This window comes from Homo sapiens, chromosome 12, assembly GCF_000001405.40.
Source record: "Homo sapiens chromosome 12, GRCh38.p14 Primary Assembly".
Taxonomy (NCBI): domain Eukaryota; kingdom Metazoa; phylum Chordata; class Mammalia; order Primates; family Hominidae; genus Homo; species Homo sapiens.
In genome coordinates, this window is record NC_000012.12 from 89,424,860 (window position 1) to 89,452,644 (window position 27,785).

Below are 27,785 nucleotides of genomic sequence, written 5' to 3' on the forward strand. Positions count from 1 at the left end.
TAGCAATATTTCATACTAACCAGAAATGGTTACTCCCAATACATTTTTCTTATGGCTCTAAATATTTTCTTACAAATGGCTTAAGCTGTGTGAGTGTGTGTGTGTGTGCACGTGTGCACACAAATGCATAGGCTCTGAGCTTATCTCTACAAGATCTTGTTTAGGGCATTGCCACCTTGAGTTTGCTTTGCTAGTATAGAGAAATCTCCCCTGCTCTGCTAGTTCTGCAACTTGCTGTATCCAGAATTGTTTTGTGTATTTTACCCCCAAGTGCAACTCATGCAACCTGTGTCATGCCCACCTGTGTCAAAACATTGAGTTGTTCCATAATATGCTCTAAAGCATCAGTCACAGCGAGAGGTATGCTCCTTTGACTTTCACAGGGGAGGTCACTCATGTCTTCTGTTTTCTTTTTCGTGGTTGTTGGCAAACATTCTGGTGACATTAAGGAAGGGTTCAAGAAATATCCACAGGCCTCTTCACCCTTGTCTGGCAGAGTCCTACCACTGGTTTCTGTTGTCTTTAATGTCACAGAAAATGTAGGAAGAGTTATATTTTCCAAACTTTAAAATGATATATATAAAAGTTTAAAATATTCCTCTTCTAAAAAGCCCAGGCTTACATTGAAGATTTATCCCCAACTATAATAAGTTATGGAAATTACTATAATTAAATAAGGAATTATTATAATTCTTATAATAAGGAAACAAAGCTAACAGTGAATAGAGACAATTTCCTTGACTTTCTTTTCAATGAAACACACTTTCCATACACTGATCTGAGGGATCTACCATTAAAAAGATTGTTAGATGCAGTTTAATTCTTAATTTAAAAACAATATTCACATCTATTAGGGTGACTATTATCAAAAAAATGAAAAATAACAAGTGTTGGTGAGAATGTGGAGAAACTGAAACACTTGTCCATTGCTAGTAGGAATGTAAAATGGTTCAGCTGCTTTGGAAAATAGTTTGGCTGTTAGTTACCCCCAAAATTAAACATAAAATTACCATATGATCCAGCAATTCTACTCCTACGTATACATCCAGGAGAACTCTGAAAGCAGGGACTCAACTGGATACTTGTACAGCAATGTTCATAGCAACATTATTCACAATAGCCAAAAGCTAGAAACAACGATAGATGAACGTATACACAAAATGTGGTATAAACATACAATGAAATATAATTCAGCCATAAAAAGGAATGGAATTCTGATACATGTTATAACATGGATACATCTTGAAAACATGCTAAGTAAAATGAGCCAGACACAAAAGGACAAAGACTATGTGACTGCACTTATATGAGGTGCCTAGAATAGGTAAATTCCTAGAGACAAAAAGTACAGTAGAGGTTACCAGGGGCTGGAGGTAGGGGTAATGGGGAGTTATTGCTCAATGAGTACAGAGTTTCTACTTGGAATGATGACAAAATTCTGGAAATAGATAGTGATGATGGTTATAAAACACTGAATACTGTGAATATACTTAATGCCAGTGAATTGTATACTTAAGAATGGTTAAAATGATAAATTTTACATTATGTATATGTTACCACAAGAGAAAAACAGAAAGTCCTCCATATGGCAATGAACAATCCAAAAATAAAATTAAGAAAATAATTCCATTTACAATGGAATAGCATAAAAAATATTTATGAAAAAAGTTAACAAAAGAAATGTAAGGCTGGGTGTGGTGGCTCAAGCCTGTAATCCCAGCACTTTGGGAGGCCAAGGTGGGCGGATCACCTGAGGCCAGGAGTTTGAGACCAGCCTGGCCAACATGGTGAAAGTCTCTACTAAAAATACAAAAATTAGCCAGGTGTGGTGGTACACGCCTGTAATCCCAGCTACTTGGGAGGCTGAGGCAAAAGAATCACTTGAACCTGGGAGACAGACGTTGCAGTGAGCCAAGATCACGCCACTTTACTCCAGCCTGGGTGACAGACCAAGGCCATGTTTCAAAAAAAAAAAAAAAGAAATGTAAGACTTGTGTACTGGAAACTATTATACAAACCATCATTGAAAGAAATAAAAGATCTAAACAAATAAACATCCCATATCCCAAATTTATGAATCAAAAACCTTAATATTATTAAGATGGCAATACTCCCCACATTGATATGCAGATTCAGTGCAAACCCTATCAAAATCCCATTTGTCTTTTTTGCAGAGGTTGATAAGCTGATCCTAAAACTCATATGGAAATGCAAGAAACCCATAACAGCTAAAATAATATTGATGAAAAAAATGTGAAGGACTCATACTTCCAAATTTCCAAACTTATTGTAAAACTATAGTAATTAAGACAGTGTGGCACTGACATAAGAATAGACATATAAATCAAAGAAACAAAACTGAGAGTGCAGAAATAAACCCTTCCATTTATGGTCAGTTGATTTTTGACAAGGTTGCCAAGACAATTTAATCTGGAAAGAATTATCTTTTTAACAAATGGCGTGAGGAAAACCCAATATCCACATTCAAAACAATGAATTTGGGTCTCTACCTCACACCATCTACAAAATTAACTCAAAATGGATCATAAAGGGCAGGGCATAGTGGTTCATGCCTGTAATCCCAAAGTGTTAAGAGACGAAAATGGGAGGATTGCTTGAGGCCAAGAGTTTGAGATCAGCCTGGGCAACATAAGGAGACCCCATCTCTACAAAAAATAAAAAAATAAAAAACTTAGACAGGCATGCTAGTGTGTGCCTGTAGTTCTAGCTACTCAGGAGGCTGAGGCTGGAGAATGGCTTGAGCCCAAGAGTTTGAGGCTGCAGTGAGCTATGATGGCACCACTGCACTCCAGCCTGGGCTACAGAGTGAGAAACTCTGTCTCTTAAAAACAAAACAAAACAAAACAAAACCACATCCTCAAAACGATCCTATTAGTATCACTTCGAGTTACTCAACTCCTTATGACAGAGAAAAGCTAAAACTGTACTGAAAACGTCCAGAAGAAAGGCTCCTAACAATCACAGATTCTGAAAGATCAAGTTAACATAAAGGATTTTTAATGCTATTCAGTCATACTTAGAAGCATCTATGGACCAACCACCTATTCATGCTCTGAGCTAAAGGAACTAGGAAGACAACATACAGCACTTATCTACATGGGTCTGCAGCTACTGAGCTGACAGCAAGGACTAAAATGGGAGCACTGTAGAGGTGAGTATGGAAATACAAAGGATTCTCTAAGAAATCTTGACTCATGATCATAGTCTACATTCCTGATCCTAGACCTCATTCACTGGGAACAAAATATGGATGTCCATGCTCCACAACCATCCTCACCCCCAAACAAATAGTTCCTGCTCAAAGAACAGGCTTTAAAAAACAAACCAACAAACAAACAAAAAACATTGCTTCTGCTCTGCCTGCAATGGCTTTCTCTGCCATCCTAGCATGACTGCATCCTTCTTGACCTCCAAATTTCAGCTTAACTGTCCCATCTTCAGAAATGCAGTCCCTGCCCTGACTACCCTACTGAAGCTGGACCTTTCATTCTCCAGCATGGCATCCTGATGCTTTCCTCTGTAACTGACCAGAATTTGTATTTATGTATTTGCTGCTTGTCTATTGTCTGTCTCCCTCACTAGACTACTATGTTTACTCTTCTCATCACTGTATCCCTTGGATCATTTCTAGTACTTAGCAGAAGCTTGAATATTTTAGAAAATGTTAACCACTTGTATACAGATTTTTTTTTTTGAGATGGAGTCTCATTCTGTTGCCCAGGCTGGAGTGCAGTGGCGCAATCTCAGCTCACTGCAAGCTCTGCTTCCTGGGTTCACACCATTCTCCTGCCTCAGCCTCCCGAGTAGCTGGGACTACAGGTGCCCACCACCACCTCCAGCTACTTTTTTGTATTTTCAGTAGAGACGGGGTTTCACCATGTTAGCCAGGATGGTCTCGATCTCCTGACCTCGTGATCTGCCCGCCTCGGCCTCCCAAAGTGCTGGGATTACAGGAGTGAGCCACTGAGCCCGGCTGTATGCAGATTTTATTATTGCTCTCACAGGTGGAAACCAAATTATCTATAACCAAGACAGTTTTTTTGAAAAAATATGGATCACAACATATCTAAGTATGTACATACATGGCCACAAATATTATTAATCATATTGTAATAACAGCTTCAGACCTTCTTGGAAAAAGGCCCCAATCATTCATTGAACTCTGGAGGTTTGCAGTCAAGGTCGTTAGTATAGAAAGGACAATAGGAAAATTGGCAAAGATGATTTAAGACCATAGACAATCTAAGCAATAAAAGAGCTCCAATAGGTTTTCTTGTTTGGCACAAGCAAAAAATATATTATTATCATATGACATATGGAAATGAAAGAAAAAAGGGAAAAGCATATGTGCAGAGAGAAAAAAGGGTGCCAGCTCTCCATCCTACAACATTAGCCAACTGACATCTCTCTTTGTCTCTCAAAGGTATTGAAACCTAGGTATTAGCAGATAGCTTTCTACCAACTAACCCTGTCTTTACATCCTGTTTGTACAGGAGAAAAGTGAGATGCACAGCATGGGGGAGGTTCAATACATTCCATTCATAAGTATTTTTTAAAAAGGTACAAAGGGAAAAACATGGTGTTTAAGATTCCTGGCTGATAGAAGTCCAGCAAGTGAGTCTGTAGTACCTGCTTCTCTCAGCACATTGAGATACTCTCCTATTTCAAAGGTGCTAATATTCAGTTCTGAGTAAATACTTACTGAGCATCTATCTATACATACTATCATACAATGATAAATGTACGTATGGTATGATGCCCGCTCTCAAGGATTCCCTGTTGCGATGAGAGAATTCAGACCAGGCAGGGCCCAAATCCCCCACAATGCCTGGCTCATCTCTGGCACTGCTGAATGAGCAGGAAATAAACAAGCAGACAGAACATAAGCAAACACATGATTGCAAGACTGCAGAAAAAACAAATGCTTTGGTAGTTCATAAAAAGAAGAAATTATATCATGTTCTCATTTCCCACCTCTTACTTCTATTGCTAACATTGTGTGATACAGTGAAGCAATAGTAATACAATCATTGATTGATCCTACAAATAAGGACCTCCTATGGTAGGCATTAGAGCTATAGCAAAGAACAAGTCAGACATGGTATCTTCCTTCATGGAGCTTACAATACTCTGGGGAAGTACTTTATCAAAAAGGATGGCAGGGCAATCACTATTCTTAAGTTCTTCTTTGGATAACCCCATGGTTGCCATCTTGAAGATGGGAAATGCAGCCTCACCAAGGGCAAAGAATGAATCTAAGGGCTGAGAAATCCTTATCTATATAGGTCAAAAGGACTCACTTTTCACCTGAACAAATGAAATGGAGTAAAAGATACAGATCTGACTGATGCAAAGAACTACGAAAGTCCTGAGAACTGAATACAAAACATATCACATCCTGGGGACAAATGACTCTTAAAAGGTTCTTTAAATACCATGGTTAATTCTAATGCATACATCTTCATTTGTCACTTATTTTTGAGGATGAATTATTTTAATGCATCAATGAAAACTGAAAATTTTCGCATTGCCAAACACATTTTTATTAGAAAATTAACCATTCAACAACATAACCATGGTCCACACATCTAAACTATTATTATTTACATAATTAACAAAGGAATATTCAAGATACTGTGGTGCTCAACTACGTGCGAAAGTTCATACATTATATCTACTCCCCTTCCTCCTTTCCTCTTCTCTCCTTCTACCACCACCCTTTCCACCACCCACCCTCTGGGCTGGCGAGTCAGAATTAATCACTAGTGCCATTTCACTCCCACAAGACTTCGTGCCATCAGTAGAGGATTTCTCACTCCTTATTATATTTGTGTTTACATATCCGTATTCCCCATTAGATTATGAACCCCTCATGTGGGGTCAGTAACTTTATCATCTCAGGTGCTTGGCATAGCACATGAGACACAGACAAAGCTCCACATTGGTTGAACTGAATTTAATGGACTGTCCTGCATCAGCTGAGCCAATCACAAAAAATTAAATATTAGCAATTTGATAGTATTTGAAGAGAAATATTACCCCCCAAAGTTAAACTAATGCCATTTTCTATTAAAAATTACAATCTTAAATGCCTTCTCAGAGGTACAGTGAGGAAGCAATGTAAGCATATATTATCTAACTTCAAATCACTGGTAGATTTTTATCCCCTAAAGGCATACTTGATAGCTTCTGGCTGAATAACAGATGGATTTTTCTAACAAATGTGAGTGCAAAAGTAGGCATTTCACATGTAAAGATAATCAGTGACTTGAACTTTAGATATACATTCAATCAGTTGGTTAAAATAAGTTAGTTTTGGTTTACAACTAACATTTCTACTCTTGGTTTAATTCTGTAAGTAGAGAAGAAAACAGATAAAAGGCAGAAAATATCTAAGCCAAAGTGTTTCCCATTATTGAAGGTTCTAAAATAGACTTGGGAAGGTCATTTGTCAGAGATATTGTGAAAGATATACAAACATCAAATCAGGAAATTCAATTGAATGCCTTTTAAAGCCCTTTTTATTCCTGATGTTCTGAGATTTTTAAATCACTACACACACACACACACACACACGCACATGCACACACACACGTATGTATAAAACGTCTGCCTGAAATAGACTAGAATAACAACAAAAAAAGCCTTTTGCCTTGGACAAAAATAAAAGCAAATATTTTTCAAAGAAAGACTATATCATTTATTTTCAATGATAAAATTTAGAGTAGGGATTGGAAACTTCAATAATCTCTACATAAGATCTAAGATAATGAATATATGCCAATTGTTCAAGCAAAATTATTTTATTTAGCACCTATGTGCCAGGCAAAATTCCAGGTGCCAGAGATACAGGACTGTGTTCATTTCCTACTGCTGCTGTAACAAATTACCACAAACTTAGTGGTTTAAAACAACATAGATTTATTATCTTATAGTTTTGGAGATTGCAAGTCCAAAACAGGATTAACGGGGCTAAAAACAAGGTGTCAGTAAGCTGCATTCCTTCTGAAGGCTCTAGGAGAGAATCCATTCCTTGCCTTTCCAGCTTCTAGAGGCTGTCCACATTCCTTAGCCCATGGCTGCATCACTCCAATAACTGCTTTAATTGTTATATCTTCTCTAATTCTCATGAATCCCTCTTTCCGTATAAGGACCCTTGTGATTATATGGGGCCCGGTCAGATAATCCAGGATAACCTCCCCATCTCAAGAGCCTTAACTTGGCCGGGCATGGTGGCTCATGCCTGTAATCCTAGCACTTTGGGAGGTCGAGGTGGGCGGATTGCCTGAGCTCAAGAGTTTGAGACCAGCCTGGGCAACACGGTGAAACCCTGTCTCTACTAAAATACAAAAGAAATTAGCCAGGTGTTGCGGCATGCACCCGTAGTCCCAGCTACTCAGGAGGCTGAGGCAGGACAATCACTTGAACCTGGGAGGTGGAGGTTGCAGTGAGCCCAGATCGAGCCACTGTACTTCCAGCCTGGGCAACGAGACTCTGTTTCTTAAAAAAAAAAAAAAAAAAAAAAAAAAAAAAGCCTTAACTTAATCACATTGGCAAAGCCCTCTTTGCCATGTAAGGAAACATTTTCATAGATTCTGGGGATGAAGACATAAATATTTTTGAGAGGAATGGTTGTTCTGCCTACCTCAAGGAGTGAATAAAGAGGCCCTGCTATCATGGTTATACTCTAGTGGGTGAAGGAGAAAAGTAAATATGTAGATATGTGATGTAATGCTAGGTGACAAGGGTTAGGAAGAAAAATAAAGCTAAGCAATGTGCTGTGTTATGATGTAGCTATGCTGATGCAAATTTTATGGAGAAGTGGTAAAGAATAAATTTTGGACGTGTTATGTTTGAGAGGCCTATCAGACTTTCAAGGGGAACAGTCATTAATACAATTGGAAATATATGATTCTAGATTTCTGTGGAGAAGCTGGGTCTAGAAATATAAATTTGGGAGTTACTGGCACGTAGATCTTTTTATCCATGGGTCTATGATCACTAGGAAGGAGCCAAACAAGAGAAGAGTTGCAGAGACTTTAGAAGGCAGGAGCAGGAAAGGTGACTGGTGGCCCTTGAGGTTGAAGACTACTGGCCCAGAAGTCAAGTGAGGAAAGAGCTTCCAGGAGGAAACAGTGATCACCAGGATCAAGTGCCACACACAGGTGGACCGAGATGAGTCCTTCGGACCCTGACATGAATGGAAGAGTGGGGATGAATGCTTGATTGGATAGCACTCAGAAGAATGCAAAGTGAAGAAATAAAGACAGTGAATCTAAGCAACAATTTTTTTTAGAAGACTTTTGCTATAAATGGGAGAAGAGCAATGAGACAGGAGCTGGAAAGGGATGAGGGGCCAAATGAGGTTTTCATTTATAAAGATGAGAAATATATCACAAATGTGTGCTGATAGAAAGAGCAAGCATAAAGAGAGCACTGATGACACAGGAGAGTGAGGGGATAACTACTCGATAAATGGGCTGGATAGACAGTGGCTGAGTGCCCATGGAGCTTTGTGTAAATAAATTTATGGTGAGACGAGCCAAGATGGCTGTCTAGTCAAATCCAGCCCCTTGGGTGTAGGTGTGAAGGAGCCAGAGAAACAGATTTAACCCAGGTTGGCATTTTTCTAGGTGAGGATAACAGAGGGAGAAAGGGACAAGACCATGGATGTAATGATGGACCACAGAATGTAAGTTGGGTAAAGGAGGCCCAGACACAGGGAGCAGGCAGTGTAAAGCAGGAGGCTTGCTGGATGGACGCCTTTCTGGGGCTGACGAATTACCAAAATGGGAGGACTAGAAGAGTGTTGGCCAAAGAGTGGGAGGCTTTACACTAAGTTTGCCATCAGCACAAAGGACTCGGATAGTCACAGAGTTCATCTGAGAATCTTGACAAAGAGGATGGCTGCCTTTCAGAAGTGACTCAGAGTTTTGCTCTAAATTTGGTTCGTTTCTTAAGATCAAAAGCCAATGTTGACTAAGGAGTGGATGGATCCATTAGGGAAACAGAAAAAGGAACTGCAGACTCACCCAGATGGGGCTGTCACAGGACCACAACAAAGAATTCATTTTCAATTCTTAACATTCTTGAAAACATAGGCTGTTGATCCTGAAGGAAAAAATGACAATTTTCTGTCTTCTGAACAGTGGATTATGTATCCTTGTAGGAACATACTCATCTGATCAAGTCTGATTGACTTAAAAGTATGACTAGGATATAATCAAAAAATGTCATGTGAAATTTTGTCCTCCAAACTAAATTTGCTGAATTAAGACTTGTTTGTCCCTCAGGAGAAAACATACATCTTTTTCTCAAAGAAAGAACCTTCAGCTTTGGGGATAAGATTTTATAGAGGACTTTGCTTTTTCTTCTTGAGAGCAAATTGGAAATTGCATTTTTATCAGAAGACTTGAAAAATATACCATGTAGCTATCAACTGAAATATCCAAATGATTAATTCAGTCACCTCGGAAAAGACAGCTGAGGCTACAAGTCTACTGTCTGTCTTTGTCTTTAATCTTTATTATAATCTCTAGAGAAACCTATTAATTTTGAAGCCATTAATGGGTAGTATACAGCTAGGACAAATGGAATCTGTATAAAAATTTCCTTCTATGTTTCACTTCTTATATGATTAAGAAAACACAAACCATTAATTCCTCAAAGGAGGATCTACTTCCTAATGCTGTATGCTGATCTAAAAGTGCACTGCACCAGATGGATCTTAATTAATGATACTCCAAATGAACATAACACCAACTTTCTGCATAAAATTTCCTGCAAACTCAAAAGGGAAAACAAGTAGCCATTACTTCTTTTGTGAACTGTGCCATTACACTTTGAAGGGCATTCAGAGTAAGGGATCCATCCTCATTATCTGTTCCATAACAAATTCAACAAGAATCTTTTACACAACATGCTAAGTGAATAAGGCAAAGATCTATAGTTATCTTTCACACTGTTCAACAAACCCCAAAGAAAAAAATAAGATATTTTCAGATGTAGTTTTAAAAGGGATAAAAGATTTTCATTTTCAGGCAGCTGAGTGAAAAATGTATTTAATATTTTTTCTAAAAAAACTTAGCAGACAAAGATCTATCATCTATTTTAAAAATCTAGTTCCATTGTTTTACTGGATGAAAAATGATTTCCTAACAATAATATAGGAAGCCAATCTAACATCAAACAATTAGATCTATGAAATTAATAAAAAATATTTAACCCTATGATAAAGATTATATAACTGGATACAGTTGAAAAACTGTGGCATAAAAATCTCCAGGAAGAATGACATTCTTTTTTTTTTTTTTTTTTTGAGATGGAGTCTCACTTTGTTGCCCAGGCTGGAGTGCAGTGGTGCCATCTCGGCTCACTGCAACCTCCGCCTCCTGGGTTCAAGAAATTCTCTTGTCTCAGCCTCCTGAGTAGCTGGGACTACAGGTGCACACCACCACACCCAGCTAGTTTTTGTATTTTTAGTAGAGACAGGGTTTCACCATATTGGTCAGGCTAGTCTCAAACTCCTGACCTAAGGTGATCCACCTGCCTTGGCTTCCCAAAGTGGTGGGACTATAGGCGTGAACCACCGTGCCCAGCCACAATAGCATTCTTAAATTGCTTATGAGTAGAGTATCAAATCCTTCATCATAAATAACAAAAAATAAGATTCTATGATAACATGATGCAGTTTAAATATTTTTCCTCCATATATTTTCACGTGTAAAATCATGTAGGTGTTTTCCTCCTTTCTTATTTTGCTGGTGGAAGAAACTCAGAAAGCAAAGATAATAAAAACAATGGCTATGTTTACATAGAAAGATTTTTTTTCCTATAATTACCATGGGGAAAAATGGCCCACCAAAAATAACATTCAAATTTAACCATAAAATTCAAAAATACTTTTCATAGATGCCATGAGTCAAAGAGAATATGAGCTAGATTCTTTTACTTTATAATCAGAATGATGAAGAATTATGATAATATATCTTTTCTCAAACACGCATATGCATGTGTGTGTATGAACATACACACAGATGAGTAAGCAGGAAGTTTTTTTCTTGTTTGTTTGTTTTTTTTTTTTGAGACAGAATCTCACTATGTCGCCAGGCTGGAATGTAGTGGCACGATCTCGACTCACCACAACCTCTGCCTCCCAGGTTCAAGCGATTCTCTTGCCTCAGCCTCCTGAGTAGCTGAGACTACAGGTGCACACCACCATTCCCAGCTAATTTTTCTATTTTTAGTAGAGATGGGGTTTCACCATGTTGGCCAGGATGGTCTTGATCTCTTGATCTCTTGACCTTGTGATCCACCCATCTCGGCCTTCCAAAGTGCTGGGATTACAGGCACAAGACACCGTGCACGACCGCAGGAAGTTTTTAAAGAGGAAGTCATGATACCACTAAAGCATGTCACTACATTATGACATACTTTATACGAAACAAAACCCGTTATGTTTCATAGCCATTAAACATGATGGGCTTTATCCATTTAAAATTTCAGTCTCAGAATTTACCAAATAACCAGCATGATTCAAATAAGCATTCTTTGCTGGGCACAATGGCTCATGCCTGTAATCCCAGCACTTTGGGAGGCTGAGATGGGTGGATGACCTCAGGTCAGAAGTTTGAGACCAGCCTGGCCAACATGGCAAAACCCCATCTCTACTAAAAATACAAAAATTAGCTGGGCTTGGTGGCATGTGCCTGTAGTCCCAGCTATTTGGGAGGCTGAGGCAGAAGAATCACTTGAACCTGGGAGACGGAGGTTGCAGTGAGCCGAGATCGCTATACTGTATTCCAGCTTGGGCGATGGAGCAAGACTCAATCTCAAAAAAAAAACAACCAAAAAAAAACCCAAAAAACAAAAAAAACAAGCATTCTTTTAATGATGCCTCTTGATAAATGAGGTGCAATTAATGTAGATCATCTCTTTATCATAATCATTATCGAATACTATGGAGCAGCAGTTTACGGGTCACCCTGTGGGACCAAGTGTCTGAATCAATCAAGTCAAGATTCTCAAATCCAGATTTCTGTACTGGATGCTCCACACCCAACTCCTGTCTCTTCCTGTCCTAATAAACAGTGCCATTATCCAGCCAGCAGCCAAAAATTTGAGAGATATTCTTGACTCTTCCCTCTTCTCCCATGTACAATCAGTAAACAGAACTTATTGACTCTCTTCAATACCTCATGAGCCAGTCTCCTCTCTTCATCCCCTATGCTACAGCACTCGATCAGACAGTTGTCACCTCATGTCTGGATTACTATTACAATAGCCTCCTAATCCTCCATGCCTCTAGTTTTATCTCCCTCCAACCCCTCCTTTTTCACATCTCCAGAGTAACTGTTCTAAAATCCAAATTTGCTTTTGTCACTCTCCTGGCTGAAAATCCTTCACTGGTCCCCCCAATTCTTAGGGTGAATCCAAATACCTCCAAAAACCTTCAAAACACATTCGAGATCATTCACAATCCATCCTCATCTTTTCTTGTTCCTCAAACTCATGCAATGCTGAGGCAAACCTGAAATGTCCGGTTTCCTGAATTCACTCCCCTCTCAGGGCTTCTTGACTTGTACTTTCTGAGCTGTCCTCGTTCCTCTTATTATCAGGCAAATTTTTAAAGAATCAGCTCAAGTATCACTCACTTTTGGGAAGCTGTATCTGTAACTTTTCTGTCTTCCACTCAAATTCTCCGGGTACATATTTGACCCCCCCACCCCCACCATATAGTTTCTTTATTTAAACACTCCACTAATTACCCCCATAGCAATTTAGGCCCATATCATTATTATTGAACTTGCTCTTTCATTTGTACATTCTCATTGCTTGGTATATAACAGGTACTCAATAAATTTACTAAATAAGATTTTAAAAATTGGCCAGGTGCAGTGGCTCACGCCTGTAACCCCAGCACTTTGGGAGGCCGAGACGGGTGGATCACCTGAGGTCAGGAGTTTGAGACCAGCCTGGCCAACATGGTGAAACCCCATCTCGACTAAAAATACAAAAATTAGCAGGGAGTGTTGGTGTGGCCTGCAGTTCCAGCTACTCCAGAGGCTGAGGCAGGAGAATTGCTTGCTCAAACCTGGGAGGCGGAGGTTGCAGTGAGCCGACATTGTGCCACTGCACTCCAGCCTGGGCGACAGAGTGAGAAACCGTCTCAAAAAAAAAAAAAAAATTAAAAAATCTATTATAGCTTACTCCTTTTCTCACCCTTCCCTCTACTCACTTTTCTACTCCCTTCATACTGGTTCGCATCTGTATTACTCCATTAAAAAAGCTCTTCAGGCCGGGCGCGGTGGCTCACGCCTGTAATCCCAGCACTTTGGGAGGCCGAGGCGGGCGGATCACGAGGTCAGAAGATCGAGACCATCCTGGCTAACACGGTGAAACCCCGTCTCTACTAAAAATACAAAAAATTAGCTGGGTGCGGTGGCGGGCACCTGTAGTCCCAGCTACTCAGGAGGCTGAGGCAGGAGAATGGCGTGAAGCCGGGAGGCGGAGCTTGCAGTGAGCCGTGATAGCGCCACTGCACGCCCGCCTGGGTGAAAGAGCGAGACTCCGTCTCAAAAACAAACAAACAAACAAACAAACAAAAAGCTCTTCAAAAGGTTAGCAATAATCTCCACCAAATTATCAAACATTTTTCAAACTTTCTCTGGACTTTTGGCAATGCTGACTCCATCGTCCTCTTGAAACTATCCTTCCTTGGCTGCCATGACACCATACTCTTTGGCTTCCTTGTTACCTACTAGTCCTTCTCTGCCTTATTTGCAGGCTTATCATCTTTCATCAGATCATTTTATTAAAATTCCTCAGGGAATAGTCCCAAACCCTCTTCTAATTCTATACTTTCTACTCAGGCAGTTGTATCTATGGTTGCTGCTTCAGTTACCACATACATGCAGAATACTCACTTATTCTTCTTTCCACTCTAGACCTTTCCTTTAAGCTACAGATATGTGTACACAACTGCATGTCTGATAGGTACTCCTGGAGGTTTCAAAGGAACGTCAAACTCGGTATGTCCAAACCGGAACTTGAAATCGCAAATTTGTCCCCTTAGGAAATACCCTACTTCAATGAATGGCACATCATTGTATAAGCTAAAAACCCAGGGATTATCTTTGCTAACCCACTTCTTACCCCTGCTTACATATCTCTCAAACGAATTCCATTCTCTTGACTTCCACTAAGATGATCCTAATCCCAGCTACCTTCAGTTTTTGTCTGGACTACTGACTTTTTCTTTTAACTGGTTTCCATGTGTCTCTTCAACTGGCAGGAAGCTTGTTTTCAAGCTACAAATGGCAAAATCATGAAAACGCCTGCATGCCTGATTCCTATGATCCTCTCTAAGCTTGGCTCACATAACACCTTGCCCCACTCCATCTCTGGGTCCCAGACTTTTTTTTACAGGTCCTAAAGTAACACAAGCTCCCCCACAGACACAGCCTTTGTATATATTCGTCCTCTGCCTAGAACATTCCAGTTCTCCCAACCTTTCACTTCAACTCCTACTGATGCTTCAGATCAGCACTTCTCAAACTTTAATGCACACACAAATCACCTGGGGATCTTATTAAAATGCAGGGTCTGATTTGGTAGGTCTGGGGTGGGACCTGTGAATCTGGATTTCTACTAAACTCTTAGGTGATGCTCAAGCACACTGTCCATGAATCATATTTTGAGTAGCAAAGTTTTATTTTATTTTGTTTTATTTATTTATTTTTTGAGACAGAGTCTCACTCTATTGCCCAGGCTGGAGTGAAGTGGCATGATCTTGGCTCACTGCAACTCTGCCTCCTGGGTTCAAGTGATTCTCCTGCCTCAGCCTCCTGAGTAGCTGGGATTACATGCATGTACAACCATGCCTGGCTAATTTTTTTGTATTTTTAGTAGAGATGGGGTTTTGCCATTTGGCCAGGCTGGTCTTGAACTCCTGACCTCAGGTGATTCACCTGCCTCAGCCTCGCAAAGTGCTGGGATTACAGGCATGAGCCACTGTGCCCGGCCTTGAGTAGCAAGGTTTTAGATCTCAGCTCAAATACCTTTTCCAGGAAAACTCTCTCTGATCCCACACATTACTGCCTTCAATTCATACTTTCACTGTACTAACATTCATACTTTCACAGTTTTTGCTTACCGTTATAACCCACATGCATCCCCCATCCCCAGCTCCTACCTAGTGTCCGACACGTTCATTTTTGTGAAATGAATGAACAATGTCCATTGAACGTGACTTAAGCTGAGTCATTTCCCTTCATGATGCTAACACCACAAGATGCACTACCCTAAATTCAGCTCCCATGGAAATCCAGCTCATCTTTGGTTAGCACACTGAAAAATTTTCTGTTTCTTCCACTCATTTGGGGTCTGCAGAGATATGGACAGAAGAGTAATTGATTCTACATGCACTGGGCTTTCTACTCTAACAAGCTAGTTGGCCCCAGTCTCCACGTATCTACCACTGCACCAAATTCTCTTATGCCAGGTACATAAAAGTCTGAGGAAAACAGGGAAATCCTAGTTACCATGGTCAGATCCAAATATCCCACCTTGGTGTGAGGAATGGCTGGGGGAAGGATGAAGGTAGGAAGAAAAGAGACAAATTTTTAGTACATTTTCACTTTTTTCCCATTAAGAAAAAACAGCTTAAATTCTCTTAAAATTCATTTCTCCTTACACTTAGGAAAAAAATTTTCAGCCTGACCAATATGGAGAAACCCCATCTCTACTAAAAATACAGAATTAGAGGAGAGTAGGTTCCAAGATGGCCAAATAGGAACAGCTCCAGTCTACAGCTCCCAGCGTGAGCAACGCAGAAGACGGGTGACTTCTGCACTTCCAACTGAGGTACTGGGTTCATTTCACTGGGGCTTGTCGGACAGTGGGTGCAGCCCACAGAGCATGAGCCGAAGCAGGGCGGGGCATCGCCTCACCCAGGCGATGGGGTCAGGGAATTCCCTTTCCTAGCCAAGGGAAGCCATGACAGATGGTACCTGGAAAATCAGGACACTCCCACCCTAATACTGCGCTTTTCCAATGGTCTTAGCAAACAGCACACCAGGAGATTATATCCTGCACATGGCTTGGAGGGTCCCACGCCCATGGAGCCTTGCTCTCTGCTAGCACAGCAGTCTGAGATCGAACTGCAAGGCAGCAGCAAGGCTGGGGGAGGGGCGTCTGCCATTGCTGAGGCTTGAGTAGATAAACAAAGTTGCCAGGAAGCTCGAACAGGGTGGAACCCACCACAGCTCAAGGAGGCCTGCCCACCTCTGTAGACTTCACCTCTGGGGGCAGGGCATAGCTGAACAAAAGGCAGCAGAAACTTCTGCAGACTTAAACGTCCCTGTCTGACAGCTTTGAAGAGAGTAGTGGTTTTCCCAGCACAGAGTTTGAGATCTGAGAACAGACAGATTGCCTCCTCAAGTGGGTCCCTGACCCCCGAGTAGCCTAACTGGGAGGTACCTCCCAGTAGGGGCTGACTGACACCTCATATGGCCGGGTCCCCCTCTGAGACGAAGCTTCCAGAGGAAGGATCAGGGAGCAACATTTGCTGTTCTGCAATATTTGCTGTTCTGAAGCCTCTGCTGGTGATACCCAGGCAAACAGGGTCGGGAGTGGACCTCCAGCAAACTCCAACAGACCTGCAGCTGAGGGTCCTGACTGTTAGAAGGAAACCTAACAAACAGAAAGGACATCCACAACAAAACCCCATGTGTACGTCACCATCATCAAAGACCAAAGGTAGATAAAACCACAAAGATGGGGAGAAGCCAGAGCAGAAAAGCTGAAAATTCTAAAAATCAGAGTGCCTCTTCTCCTCCAAAGGAACGCAGCTCCTCGCCAGCAACGGAACAAAGCTGGATGGAGAATGACTTTGACAAGTTGAGAGAAGAAGGCTTCAGATGATCGGTAATAACAAACTTCTCTGAGCTAAAGAAAGATGTTCGAACCCATCGCAAAGAAGTTAAAAACCTTGAAAAAAGATTAGACGAATGGCTAACTAGAATAAACAGCGTTTATGACCTGATAGAGCTGAAAACCACGGCACGAGAACCATGTGACGCACGCACAAGCTTCAGTAGCTGATTCAATCAAGTGGAAGAAAGGGTATCAGTGATGAAGATCAAATGAATGAAATGAAGCGAGAAGTTTAGAGAAAAAAGAGTAAACAGAAATGAACAAAGCCTCCAAGAAATACGGGACTATGTGAAAAGACCAAATCTACGTCTGACTGGTGTACCGGAAAGTGATGGGGAGAATGGAACCAACTTGGAAAACACTCTTCAGGATATTATCCAGGAGAACTTCCCCAACCTAGCAAGGCAGGCCAACATTCAAATTCAGGAAATACAGAGAACGCCACAAAGATACTCCTTAAGAAGAACAACTCCAAGATACATAATTGTCAGATTCACCAAAGTTGAAATGAAGGAAAAAATGTTAAGGGCAGGCAGAGAGAAAGGTCAGGTTACCCACAAAGGGAAGCCCATCAGACGAACAGCAGATGTCTCGGCAGAAACTCTACAAGCCAGAAGGGAGTGGGGGCCAATATTCAACATTCTTAAAGAAAAGAATTTTCAACCCAGAATTTCATATCCAGCCAAACTAAGCTTCATAAGTGAAGGAAAAATAAAATCCTTTACAGACAAGCAATGCTGAGGGATTTTGTCACCACCAGGCCTGCCTTACAAGAGCTCCTGAAGGAAGCACTAAACATGGAAAGGAACAACCGGTACCAGCCACTGCAAAAACATGCCAAATTGTAAAGACCATTGATGCTAGGAAGGAACTGCATCAACTAATGAGCAAAATAACCAGCTAACATCATAATGACAGGATCAATTCATACATAACAATATTAACCTTCAATGTAAATGGGCTAAATGCTCCAATTAAAAGACACAGACTGGCAAATTGGATAAAGAGTCAAGACCCATCAGTGTGCTGTATTCAGGAGACCCATCTCATGTGCAGAGACACAATAGGCTCAAAATAAAGAGATGGAGGAAGATCTACCAAGAAAATGAAAAACAAAAAAAAGCAGGGGTTGCAACCTTAGTCTCTGATAAAACAGACTTTAAACCAACAAAGATCAAAAGAGACAAAGAAGGCCATTACATAATGGTCAAGGGATCAATCCAACAAGAAGAGCTAACTATCCTAAATATATATGCACCCAATGCAGGAGCACCCAGATTCATAAAGCAAGTCCTTAGAGACTTACAAAGAGACTTAGATTCCCACACAATAATAATGGGAGACTTTAACACCCCACTGTCAACATTAGACAGTTCAACAAGACAGAAAGTTAACAAGGATATCCAGGAATTGAACTCAGCTCTGCACCAAGTGGACCTAATGGACATCTATAGAACTCTCCACCCCAAATCAACAGAATATACATTTTTCTCAGCACCACATTGCACTTATTCCAAAATTGACCATATAGTTGGAAGTAAAGCACAACTCAGCAAATGTAAAAGAACAGAAATGATAACAAACTGTCTCTCAGACCACAATGCAATCAAACTAGAACTCAGGATTAAGAAACTCACTCAAAACCGCTCAACTACATGGAAACTGAACAACCTGCTCCTGAATGACTACTGGGTACATAACGAAATGAAGGCAGAAATAAAGATGTTCTTTGAAACCAATGAGAACAAAGACACAACATACCAGAATCTCTGGGACACATTCAAAGCAGTGTGTAGAGGGAAATTTATAGCACTAAATGCCCACAAGAGAAAGCAGGAAAGATCTAAAATTGACACCCTAACATCACAATTAAAAGAACTAGAGAAGCAAGAGCAAACACATTCAAAAGCTAGCAGAAGGCAAGAAATAACTAAGATCAGAGCAGAACTGAAGGAGATAGAGACACAAAAAACCCTTCAAAAAATCAATGAATCCAGGAGCTGGTTTTTTGAAAAGATCCACAAAATTGATAGACCACTAGCAAGACTAATAAAGAAGAAAAGAGAGAAGAATCAAATAGATGCAATAAAAAATGACAAAGGGGATATCACCACCAATCCCACAGAAATACAAACTACCATCAGAAAATAACATAAACACTTCTATGCAAAGAAACTAGAAAATCTAGAAGAAATGGATAAATTCCTGGACACATACATCCTCCCAAGACTAAACTAGGAAGAAGTTGAACCCCTGAATAGACCAATAACAGGCTCTGAAACTGAGGCAATAATTAAGAGCCTACCAACCAAAAAAAGTCCAGGACCAGAACGGTTTCACAGCCGAATTCTACCAGAGGTACAAAAAGGAGCTGGTACCATTCCTTCTGAAACTATTCCAATCAACAGAAAATGAGAGAATCCTCCCTAACTCATTTTATGAGGACAGCATCATCCTGATACCAAAGCCTGGCAGAGACACAACGAAAAAAGAATATTTTAGACCAATATCCCTGATGAACAGCGATGCAAAAATCCTCAATAAAATACTGGCAAACTGAATCCAGCAACACATCAAAAAGCTTATCCACCACGATCAAGTTGGCTTCATCCCTCAGATGGAAGACTGGTTCAACATATGCAAATCAATAAACGTAATCCAGCATATAAACAGAACCAAAGACAAAAACCACACAATTATCTCAATAGATGCAGAAAAGGCCTTCAACAAAATTCAACAGCACTTCCTGCTAAAAACTCTCAATAAACTACGTATTGATGGGACATATCTCAAAATAATAAGAACTATTTATGACAAACCCACAGCCAATATCATACTGAATGGGCAAAAACTGGAAGCATTCCCTTTGAAAACTGGCACAAGACAGGGATGCCCTCTCTCACCACTCCAATTGAACATAGTGTTGGAAGTTCTGGCCAGGTCAATCAGGCAGGAGAAAGAAATAAAGGGTATTCAATTAGGAAAAGAGGAAGTCAAATTGTCCCTGTTTGCAGGTGACATGATTGTATATTTAGAAAACCCCATCGTCTCAGCCCAAAATCTCCTTAAGCTGATAAGCAACTTCAGCAAAGTCTCAGGATACAAAATCAATGTGCAAAAATCACAAGCATTCCTATATACCAATAACAGACAAACAGAGAGCCAAATCATGAGTGAATTCCCATTCACAATTGCTTCAAAGAGAATAAAATACTTAGGAATCCAACTTACAAGGGGTGTGAAGGACCTCTTCAAGGAGAACTAGAAACCACTGCTCAACAAAATAAAAGAGGCCACAAATAAATGGAAGAACATTCCATGCTCACGGATAGGAAGAATCAATATTGTGAAAATGGCCATACTGCCCAAGGTAATTTATAGATTCAATGCCATTCCTATCAAGCTACCAATGACTTTCTTCACAGAATTGGAAGAAAATACTTTAAAGTTCATATGGAACCAAAAAAGAGCTCATATTGCCAAGACAATCCTAAGCCAAAAGAACAAAGCTGGAGGCATCATGCTACCTGACTTCAAACTATACTACAAGGGTACAGGAACCAAAACAGCATGGTACTGGTACCAAAATGAAGATATAGACCAATGGAACAGAACAGAGCCCTCAGAGATACTACCACACATCTACCACCATCTGATCTTTGATAAACCTGACAAAAACAAGAAATGGGGAAAGGATTCCCTATTTAATAAATGGTGCTGGGAAAACTGGCTAGCCATATGTAGAAAGCTGAAACTGGATCCCTTCCTTACACCTTATACAAAAATTAATTCAAGATGGATTAAAGACTTAAATGTTACACCTAAAACCATAAAAACCCTAGAAGAAAACCTAGGCAATACCATTCAGGACATAGGCATGGGCAAGGACTTCATGTCTAAAACACCAAAAGCAATGGCAACAAAAGCCAAAATTGACAAATGGGATCTAATTAAACTAAAAAGCTTCTGCACAGCAAAAGAAACTACCATCAGAGTGAACAGGCAACCTAAAGAATGGGAGAAAATTTTTACAATCTACCCATCTGAGAAACGGCTAATATCCAGCATCTACAAAGAACTTAAACAAATTTACAAGAAAAAAACAACCCAATCAAAAAATGGGCAAAGGATATAAACAGACACTTCTCAAAAGAAGACATTTATGCAGCCAACAGACACATGAAAAAATGCTCATCATCACTGGCTGTCAGAGAAATGGAAATCAAAACCACAATGAGATACCATCTCACACCAGTTAGAATGGCGATCATTAAAAAGTCAGGAAACAACAGGTGCTGGAGAGGATGTGGAGAAATAGGAACACTTTTACACTGTTGGTGGGACTGTAAACTAGTTCAACCATTGTGGAAGACAGTGTGGCGATTCCTCAAGGATCTAGAACTAGAAATACCATTTGACCCAGCCATCCCATTACTGGGTATATACCCAAAGGACTATAAATTGTGCTGCTATAAAGACACATGCACACATATGTTTATTGCGGCACTATTCACAATACAAAGACTTGGAACCAACCCAAATGTCCAACAACAATAGACTGGATTAAGAAAATGTGGCACATATACACTATGGAATACTATGCAGCCATAAAAAGGATGAGTTCATGTCCTTTTTAGGGACGTGGATGAAGGTGGAAACCATCATTCTCAGCAAACTATTGCAAGGACAGAAAACCAAACACCGCATGTTCTCACTCATAGGTGGGAACTGAACAATGAGAATACTTGGACACAGGGTGGGGAACATCACACACTGGGGCTTGTCGTGGGATGGGGAAGTGGGGAGGGATAGCATTAGGAGATATACCTAATGTAAATGACGAGTTAATGGGTGCAGCACACCAACATGGCACATGTACATATGTAACAAACTTAAAGTGTAATTAAAAAAAAAAAAGAAAAACATTTTGACTAAAAACCTATAGGAAAGATTATATAAATTAATTGCTGGATGAAACAGCTAGAACATGTGCATGAAATAGGTTGTTATAGGGAAACATAATGGAAGAGCTCAATTGCAAAAAACATATGACAGGCAGAAGCAATGCCACTGTTGCCGGGAGAAGTGCCTGGAAAGGGTACCAAGGCAAAAAGTAAAAATAAACAAAACATATTCACAAACATACTCATAGTTTGGGATATAAACTCCGTGACTGTCATTTTCCTTGATGAATAAATACATAAAAATAGTCATAGCACTTTGTAGGATAAATGAATAGATCTTAACACTTAACTAAATATTAATAATAAAACGTCTTAGAGAAAACTGCTGCTCTCTAAATCAAAAGTTTTCAATACATTTAAGGTGAGCAATAGTTTATTTTAAAATCAAAATTATTTTTCTCAATTGTAACTATTTGGTAAACTTATCAATATACTCAATTTAAAAAATGGTAACTTAAAAAAATAATATGACATGTTTGAAGTTTCTCATGTGATCTTTTGATACACAGTGCCCAAAATGTAAGACAGTCATATGTTTATTATATATATAATTCACGGAACATTGAAATATGTAAGTGATTTCTAGAAAAGGAAAGAACAAAGTAATTTCTAAAAGTGTACATATCTTGAATTTTTTCAGTAATTTTACTGTGTACGGAACTGTACAAAAAGTACACAAAATTTTCTAAAAGTACAAATCTGAGAGAGCATATTTCTTAGTCAAATTCTTCAAATTTCAACTGATTTTCCAAAGCATACAATTGTTTTTGCTTCAGCTTAATGATGCATTTCCAGTTCTATTTAAAATAAGGAATTATTTTAAATATTTATCATCTTGAAATTTCATTAAATTGCTATCCCCAGAATGCATAGTTCTGAATTAAGAATAATATTTACTCAGCATGGTACTTTACCTGATGCTAGATGTCATTTAAAATAAATTTATTTTATATATTATCAACCTTTGAGAATGGACCAAGTATGGCACAAATTCATTTTACGAACCTAAAGCTTCAAGCAGAAGTGTCCAAGTAAATAGCAAAATTCCTATGAAAGTTCCACCTATGGGGACAAGGTGTTAATACTGTAACACATACAGCTCTATGATATAATCAGTCCAAGAGAGGCAAACTGAGTCTGAGGAGCCCTGAACATGGAGCGACTGGACCTCCTGGAACTATAGATAACGCATGACCTGAGGAACACTAAGAGAGAGAGAGAGAGAGAAACTGGAAGACATAGCCTGGATTCTGCCTACAGCCACACAGTTTGTATCACGGACTTGGGCTTTCTTTTGAGCCTTGCCCCCAAGATTTCCAACCCAACTAACTGAGGATATTTACCAGGAAAGCATAGCTGTGTTTAAAAATAAAAGTCAGGATGGGCATGGTGGTTCATGCCTGTAATCTCAGTCCTTTGGGAGGCTGAAGCTGGAGGATGGCTTGAACTCAGGAGTTCAAGACAAACCTGGACAACATGGCGAGACCTCATCTCCATTTTAAAAAACAACAAAACAAACAAAACCCAACCAGCCAACCACACAACAGCAACAAAAGGCCAATTTAAAATAGGATTCACTTTATAAAAATCACCCTAACTAAATTTGATAAAAACTGATGTTCTCATCTATTCCAAAATAAAATAATACCTGCACACACCAGAACGGCAATAACACCATCAAAGGAAATTTCTGCATACACAGTTCCTACTGCTGAGAATATCCTTTCTCAACAGACAGACAAAAACTGAAAATTAGTGACAGGGCAGAAGTGAGAACCTGGGGAGAGCAATCAGTGAATAGTAACAAAGCCCTGCCAAGGGAGGTAAAGCCATTACATCATTATGAAAGAGAGTTAAAGACATGACAGATCAAATAATTATTCATATCAGGAAGCTATATCCACACAATTAGGCTTGAACAACCTATGATGAGCATGCCATATGGCACACCTTCTGGATAAACAGTAAGAGACAAGTGTGTCTTAAACACAATTCTTCCTGATGAGCATTCTAACACTAAGTTAAGGACTTGTGTGTGATGAAGTCTGGTGTGTGCCAAGGATTTATGTACTTGGCAAGTAGGAATAGGCAATGCTTAAATTCCCAAAGTAGCCTTCACAACCAGTTACTTACAAACATTGGTTGACTCAAGGGCCTATTTCTCCACCTGCTCCCAAACTGGAGGTCCTCAGTACTTTCCGTTTTTTTCCCCACAACCAGAGATATACATCAGGTCTCCTTGGCTACTATATTATGGTGAAAAAACATTTACTTAAGTTAAATCATACTGACCACAAGGAAGCTAAAACCAGGATTCAAAGTGGCAAGGCATCTGATCTGTGTGTCTAAACATCTGGAAGGCAGGTTGGTGCTGGTGTTCAGTCTGTCCTCTGAGGTTGTTTAATCGGAGCCTTGCTTGCCCCCATCATTTCCTTGCTGTGTGTCTGTGAGGAAGTTACCTTACCCCTTTAAGGCTAATTTGTGGAATGTGAGAATCTACATGCATGCTTAGTAGTAAAATGTTTAGTAGTATGTGAAAAATGGTGGCTATTTTTATGGGAACCACAGGCATGTAAATGAGAATGCTCCTAAATTGATTTACTGAAACACTGAGGTAACACATTTGTAAATTAGTTACATTTAACCATTCCACATGTATATATACTTTAAAACATCATGTTATACATAAGAAATACATACAATTTTATGTCAATTAAACAATAAATAAATGAAAGAAAAAAGGGGAAACAATTCCCTAAATATAATACTACATTCCTAGACAAGCAACTCAAATTGGCAAGTTGGCAATTCTCAAATTATTTTATAAATCTAGTGCAATGGCAATCGACATTCCAATGGGATGGTTTTTTGAAACAGAATAATTTTAAAATTCATATGGATAAGTAATAGGCAAGAACATCCAGGAAAGTTTTGAAGGAAAAAACTGTACATTATATAATATTTTAAAGAAATATTCTAAATCTACAATGATTAAAAAGGTATGATAATGGATCAAGAACAAACAGATAATGGATCAAGAACAAATAGATCAAGAACAGAGCAATAAGACAGAAGAGAAAGTCTCCAAAGAGACACAAGTTCATATGAATTTAATGTTTAAAGAAGGTTATTCAAATCAGTGAAACAATACAAATTGAGGGTACTTTGTTAACTATAAATCTGTACCTCATACCTAAATTAATACATATGGATTTTAAGGTTTTATCATTAAAAATAAAACCTCAAGAAGAGTAGCTAAGATGTTTGGGGATTGATGAGGGAATTTCTTTGCATAGAATCCAAACAACAACAAAAAATAGTTTTAAAAAAGGTAATGCAGCTAAACCTATCAAAAATCAGAAACTAAATTCAAGGAGAAATGAGAAAAAAGGAAAACATATTTGTAGCACATGGCAAGAGGTAAATCTTCTTCTTTTTTTTTTTTTGAGATGGAGTCTTGCACTGTCGCCTGGGCTGGAGTGCAGTGGCACGATCTTGGCTCACTGCAACCTATGCCTCTAGGGTTCAAGCAATTCTCCTGCTTTAGTTTCTCAAGTAGCTGGGATTACAGGCAGCCACCACCATGCCCAGCTAACTTTTATATTTTTAGTAGAGACAGGGTTTCGCCATGTTGGCCAGGCTGGTCTCAAACTCCTGATCTTGTGATTTGCCTGCCTCGGCCTCCCAAAGTGTTGGGATTACAGGTGTGAGCCACCGCGCCCTGCCCAAGGTCAATCTTCTTAATTAAAATTACCTAAGGATCAATTTTAAAATGAACAATAGGAAAATGGGCAAAGTACACAAATACACAATCTTCAGAAATACAAATAAACAGCAATCATGAACACGTCAAAACTCACAAGTCACTAAAAAATGAAATAAACTTGATAACATCTTTTGCTTATTAAGCTGTTTTAAGGCTTTTAACATTTTAAATAATTAAAAATAAATAGAAAACCTTTAAAGGTTTTTGTCATGTTGATGTTGTTATTACAAACAGTATTGGAATAGGCATCCTTGAATAGAAATCTTTGTATGTATATCTTATTATTTCTTTAGGATGATTTACTATGTATCACTCAGGGTTCAGCAGAAAAACAAAGTACAGCCATTATTTTAACAGAGAGAATTTAATATAGGGAACTGGTTAAACAGATTTCTAAGTCTGTAAATGCTAAAAGGGAGCTCTGAGGTAAGCAGAGATATTAAATGTATGAAACTAGCTCCCTAGAGTTGGGGAACAAAGGCAAGAGATTGGATTATTAGAAACTAGACACTCAAGAGTTCCCTTGCTGAGAGCTGAGATGGTTTGTTCACAAGGAGGAAAGAGGAATGTTCATTAAAAAGACATTCTGAAAAGGAAAAGGAAATGCCTGGCATTCCTTCTCTATCTCCCCTTCAACTTAAAACAAACAACTCTATGTGCTTCAGAAAAATAATCCAAATAGATACATAAAAAGTATGAGAATGTTGCCACCATAAATACTAAGGCCCACCAAAATTCTGTAGTGATTTGGAAAGTAGGTTAAAAAGTACATATGATATAAAATATGAGCTTTGTAGTGGCCATCATGATCCTGAGTAAAAGAAAAACAAAATACTCTAGGAATTAACACAAAAAATAGAAAATCAAATTACACTAAAAAAAATCTTCCATTGCAAAAGTCAATTGAAGTCAATTTGACATTTAAGTGATGAGTTGGTTGGTTGGTTGGCTGAAAGCAACATAATTTTATTTATGTTTCAGGATATATGATTGTGTGGCCTGACAATCTCAGAAAGTAAAAGCAAAGAAATTGAAAGACATGGAAAGAACTAGGCCGGGACCAGCACTGGGCCTTAATAACCAGTTCACTGAGATGGTAAGGTTCTAAATCTTTAGAAGCCCTAATAATATGTTTTACATAGTGTGACAGCATAAAGCAGGAAGAACTGACTGAAAAATATGTGTTAGCAGACTTGCTGACTACTTTCACCAAATAATTAACTGTCAAGTGGCAAAATAAAGGAGCAAAGCCAATAGCTTCACTATCTATGCAGCACCAAATAACTCAAAACCAGATGGGTATAGATGTGCAGAACAGTTGAAAGCTAAGTTCACTATTTTCCGTGAAGCTCCAACAGCCCCACAAATGGCATTTAGCTCCGTAGTAAACCATCCTATAGGTCAGCAGGAAGCTCATTATGGGCTGACAGTCCAGGAGACAAGCACTTTTCAGGGAGCTACGGTAGTAATTTCCTGTGTGAAAAGCTCACTGCTGTTCTTGCATTCCTCAGGGTGCATTTCTTCTCATCTCAGAGGATGTTTCTCTTCCACAGGAAGAGGAAGGAACCAGTTGTTACTGGATGTGTGGGCTGAGAGCTGTCGGGCATTTTCAGCATGCCTCGGTCTCAGCTGTGGGAACTGGGGATGCAGCTTAGATTCCCAGGCCCGGGACAGTCGGTATTACTGCAGTAGTCCGGGGCGTCACAGTTTAGAAATACAGTATCTCAGCAAGTTGGAAGGCAGAAATAATACCTGGAACACCTCCAGTTCCCAGAAACGTGCTAATTTTCTAAAGGAAATTCTAAAAAGTATTTATTGGGCTCCCAAATAGCATGATTTATAAATCCTTTTGTAAATTTTCCTTTTTTTTTTCTGTCTTCACATTTTATACGGCAGAGTTCAAGTCCCAAATCACGTTTGTCAATAGGAGTAAGGACAAGTTTCACTGCATAAAGTATTCTTTAACTAGGACTATTTTTAAAAACTTTAAGAGTATCAAATTTTTGGTAAATTCATTAATATGTTTTCTTTCCTTGTGACTTTGAAACTTAAAGAGAAAGAAGGTCAAATTAGCATATTTGTCAGTATATCTTAAAAAA

At 39.2% G+C, this 27,785-nt stretch overlaps 2 protein-coding genes and 1 long non-coding RNA gene across 14 annotated transcripts in view; 1 reads left to right on the forward strand and 2 right to left on the reverse strand.

Annotated features, from left to right (window-relative positions):
* Positions 1–27,785, reverse strand: part of POC1B-DUSP6 (POC1B-DUSP6 readthrough) — a 177,983-nt gene that overhangs the window by 76,795 nt on the left and 73,403 nt on the right. The gene's annotated exons all lie outside the window — the stretch shown is intronic.
* The window catches only part of POC1B (POC1 centriolar protein B), a 124,581-nt gene that overhangs the window by 23,393 nt on the left and 73,403 nt on the right, over positions 1–27,785 (reverse strand). For 4 of the 7 annotated variants that reach the window (NR_037659.2, NR_037660.2, NM_172240.3 and 1 more), the window contains one exon: positions 302–520. The exons of the other annotated variants lie outside the window; for them this stretch is intronic. Coding sequence is in view for 2 of the 4 variants with exons in the window: in NM_172240.3 (NP_758440.1) it covers positions 302–520 (219 nt within the window). In the remaining 2 variants the exon portion in view is untranslated. The remainder of the gene's footprint in view (positions 1–301; positions 521–27,785) is intronic. 7 annotated transcript variants of the gene reach the window in all.
* On the forward strand, positions 2,923–27,296 carry LOC105369889 (uncharacterized). Its single transcript, NR_189732.1, has 4 exons — positions 2,923–3,172; positions 15,722–15,885; positions 26,668–26,782; positions 27,198–27,296. It is a non-coding gene; the product is annotated as an uncharacterized LOC105369889 (long non-coding RNA).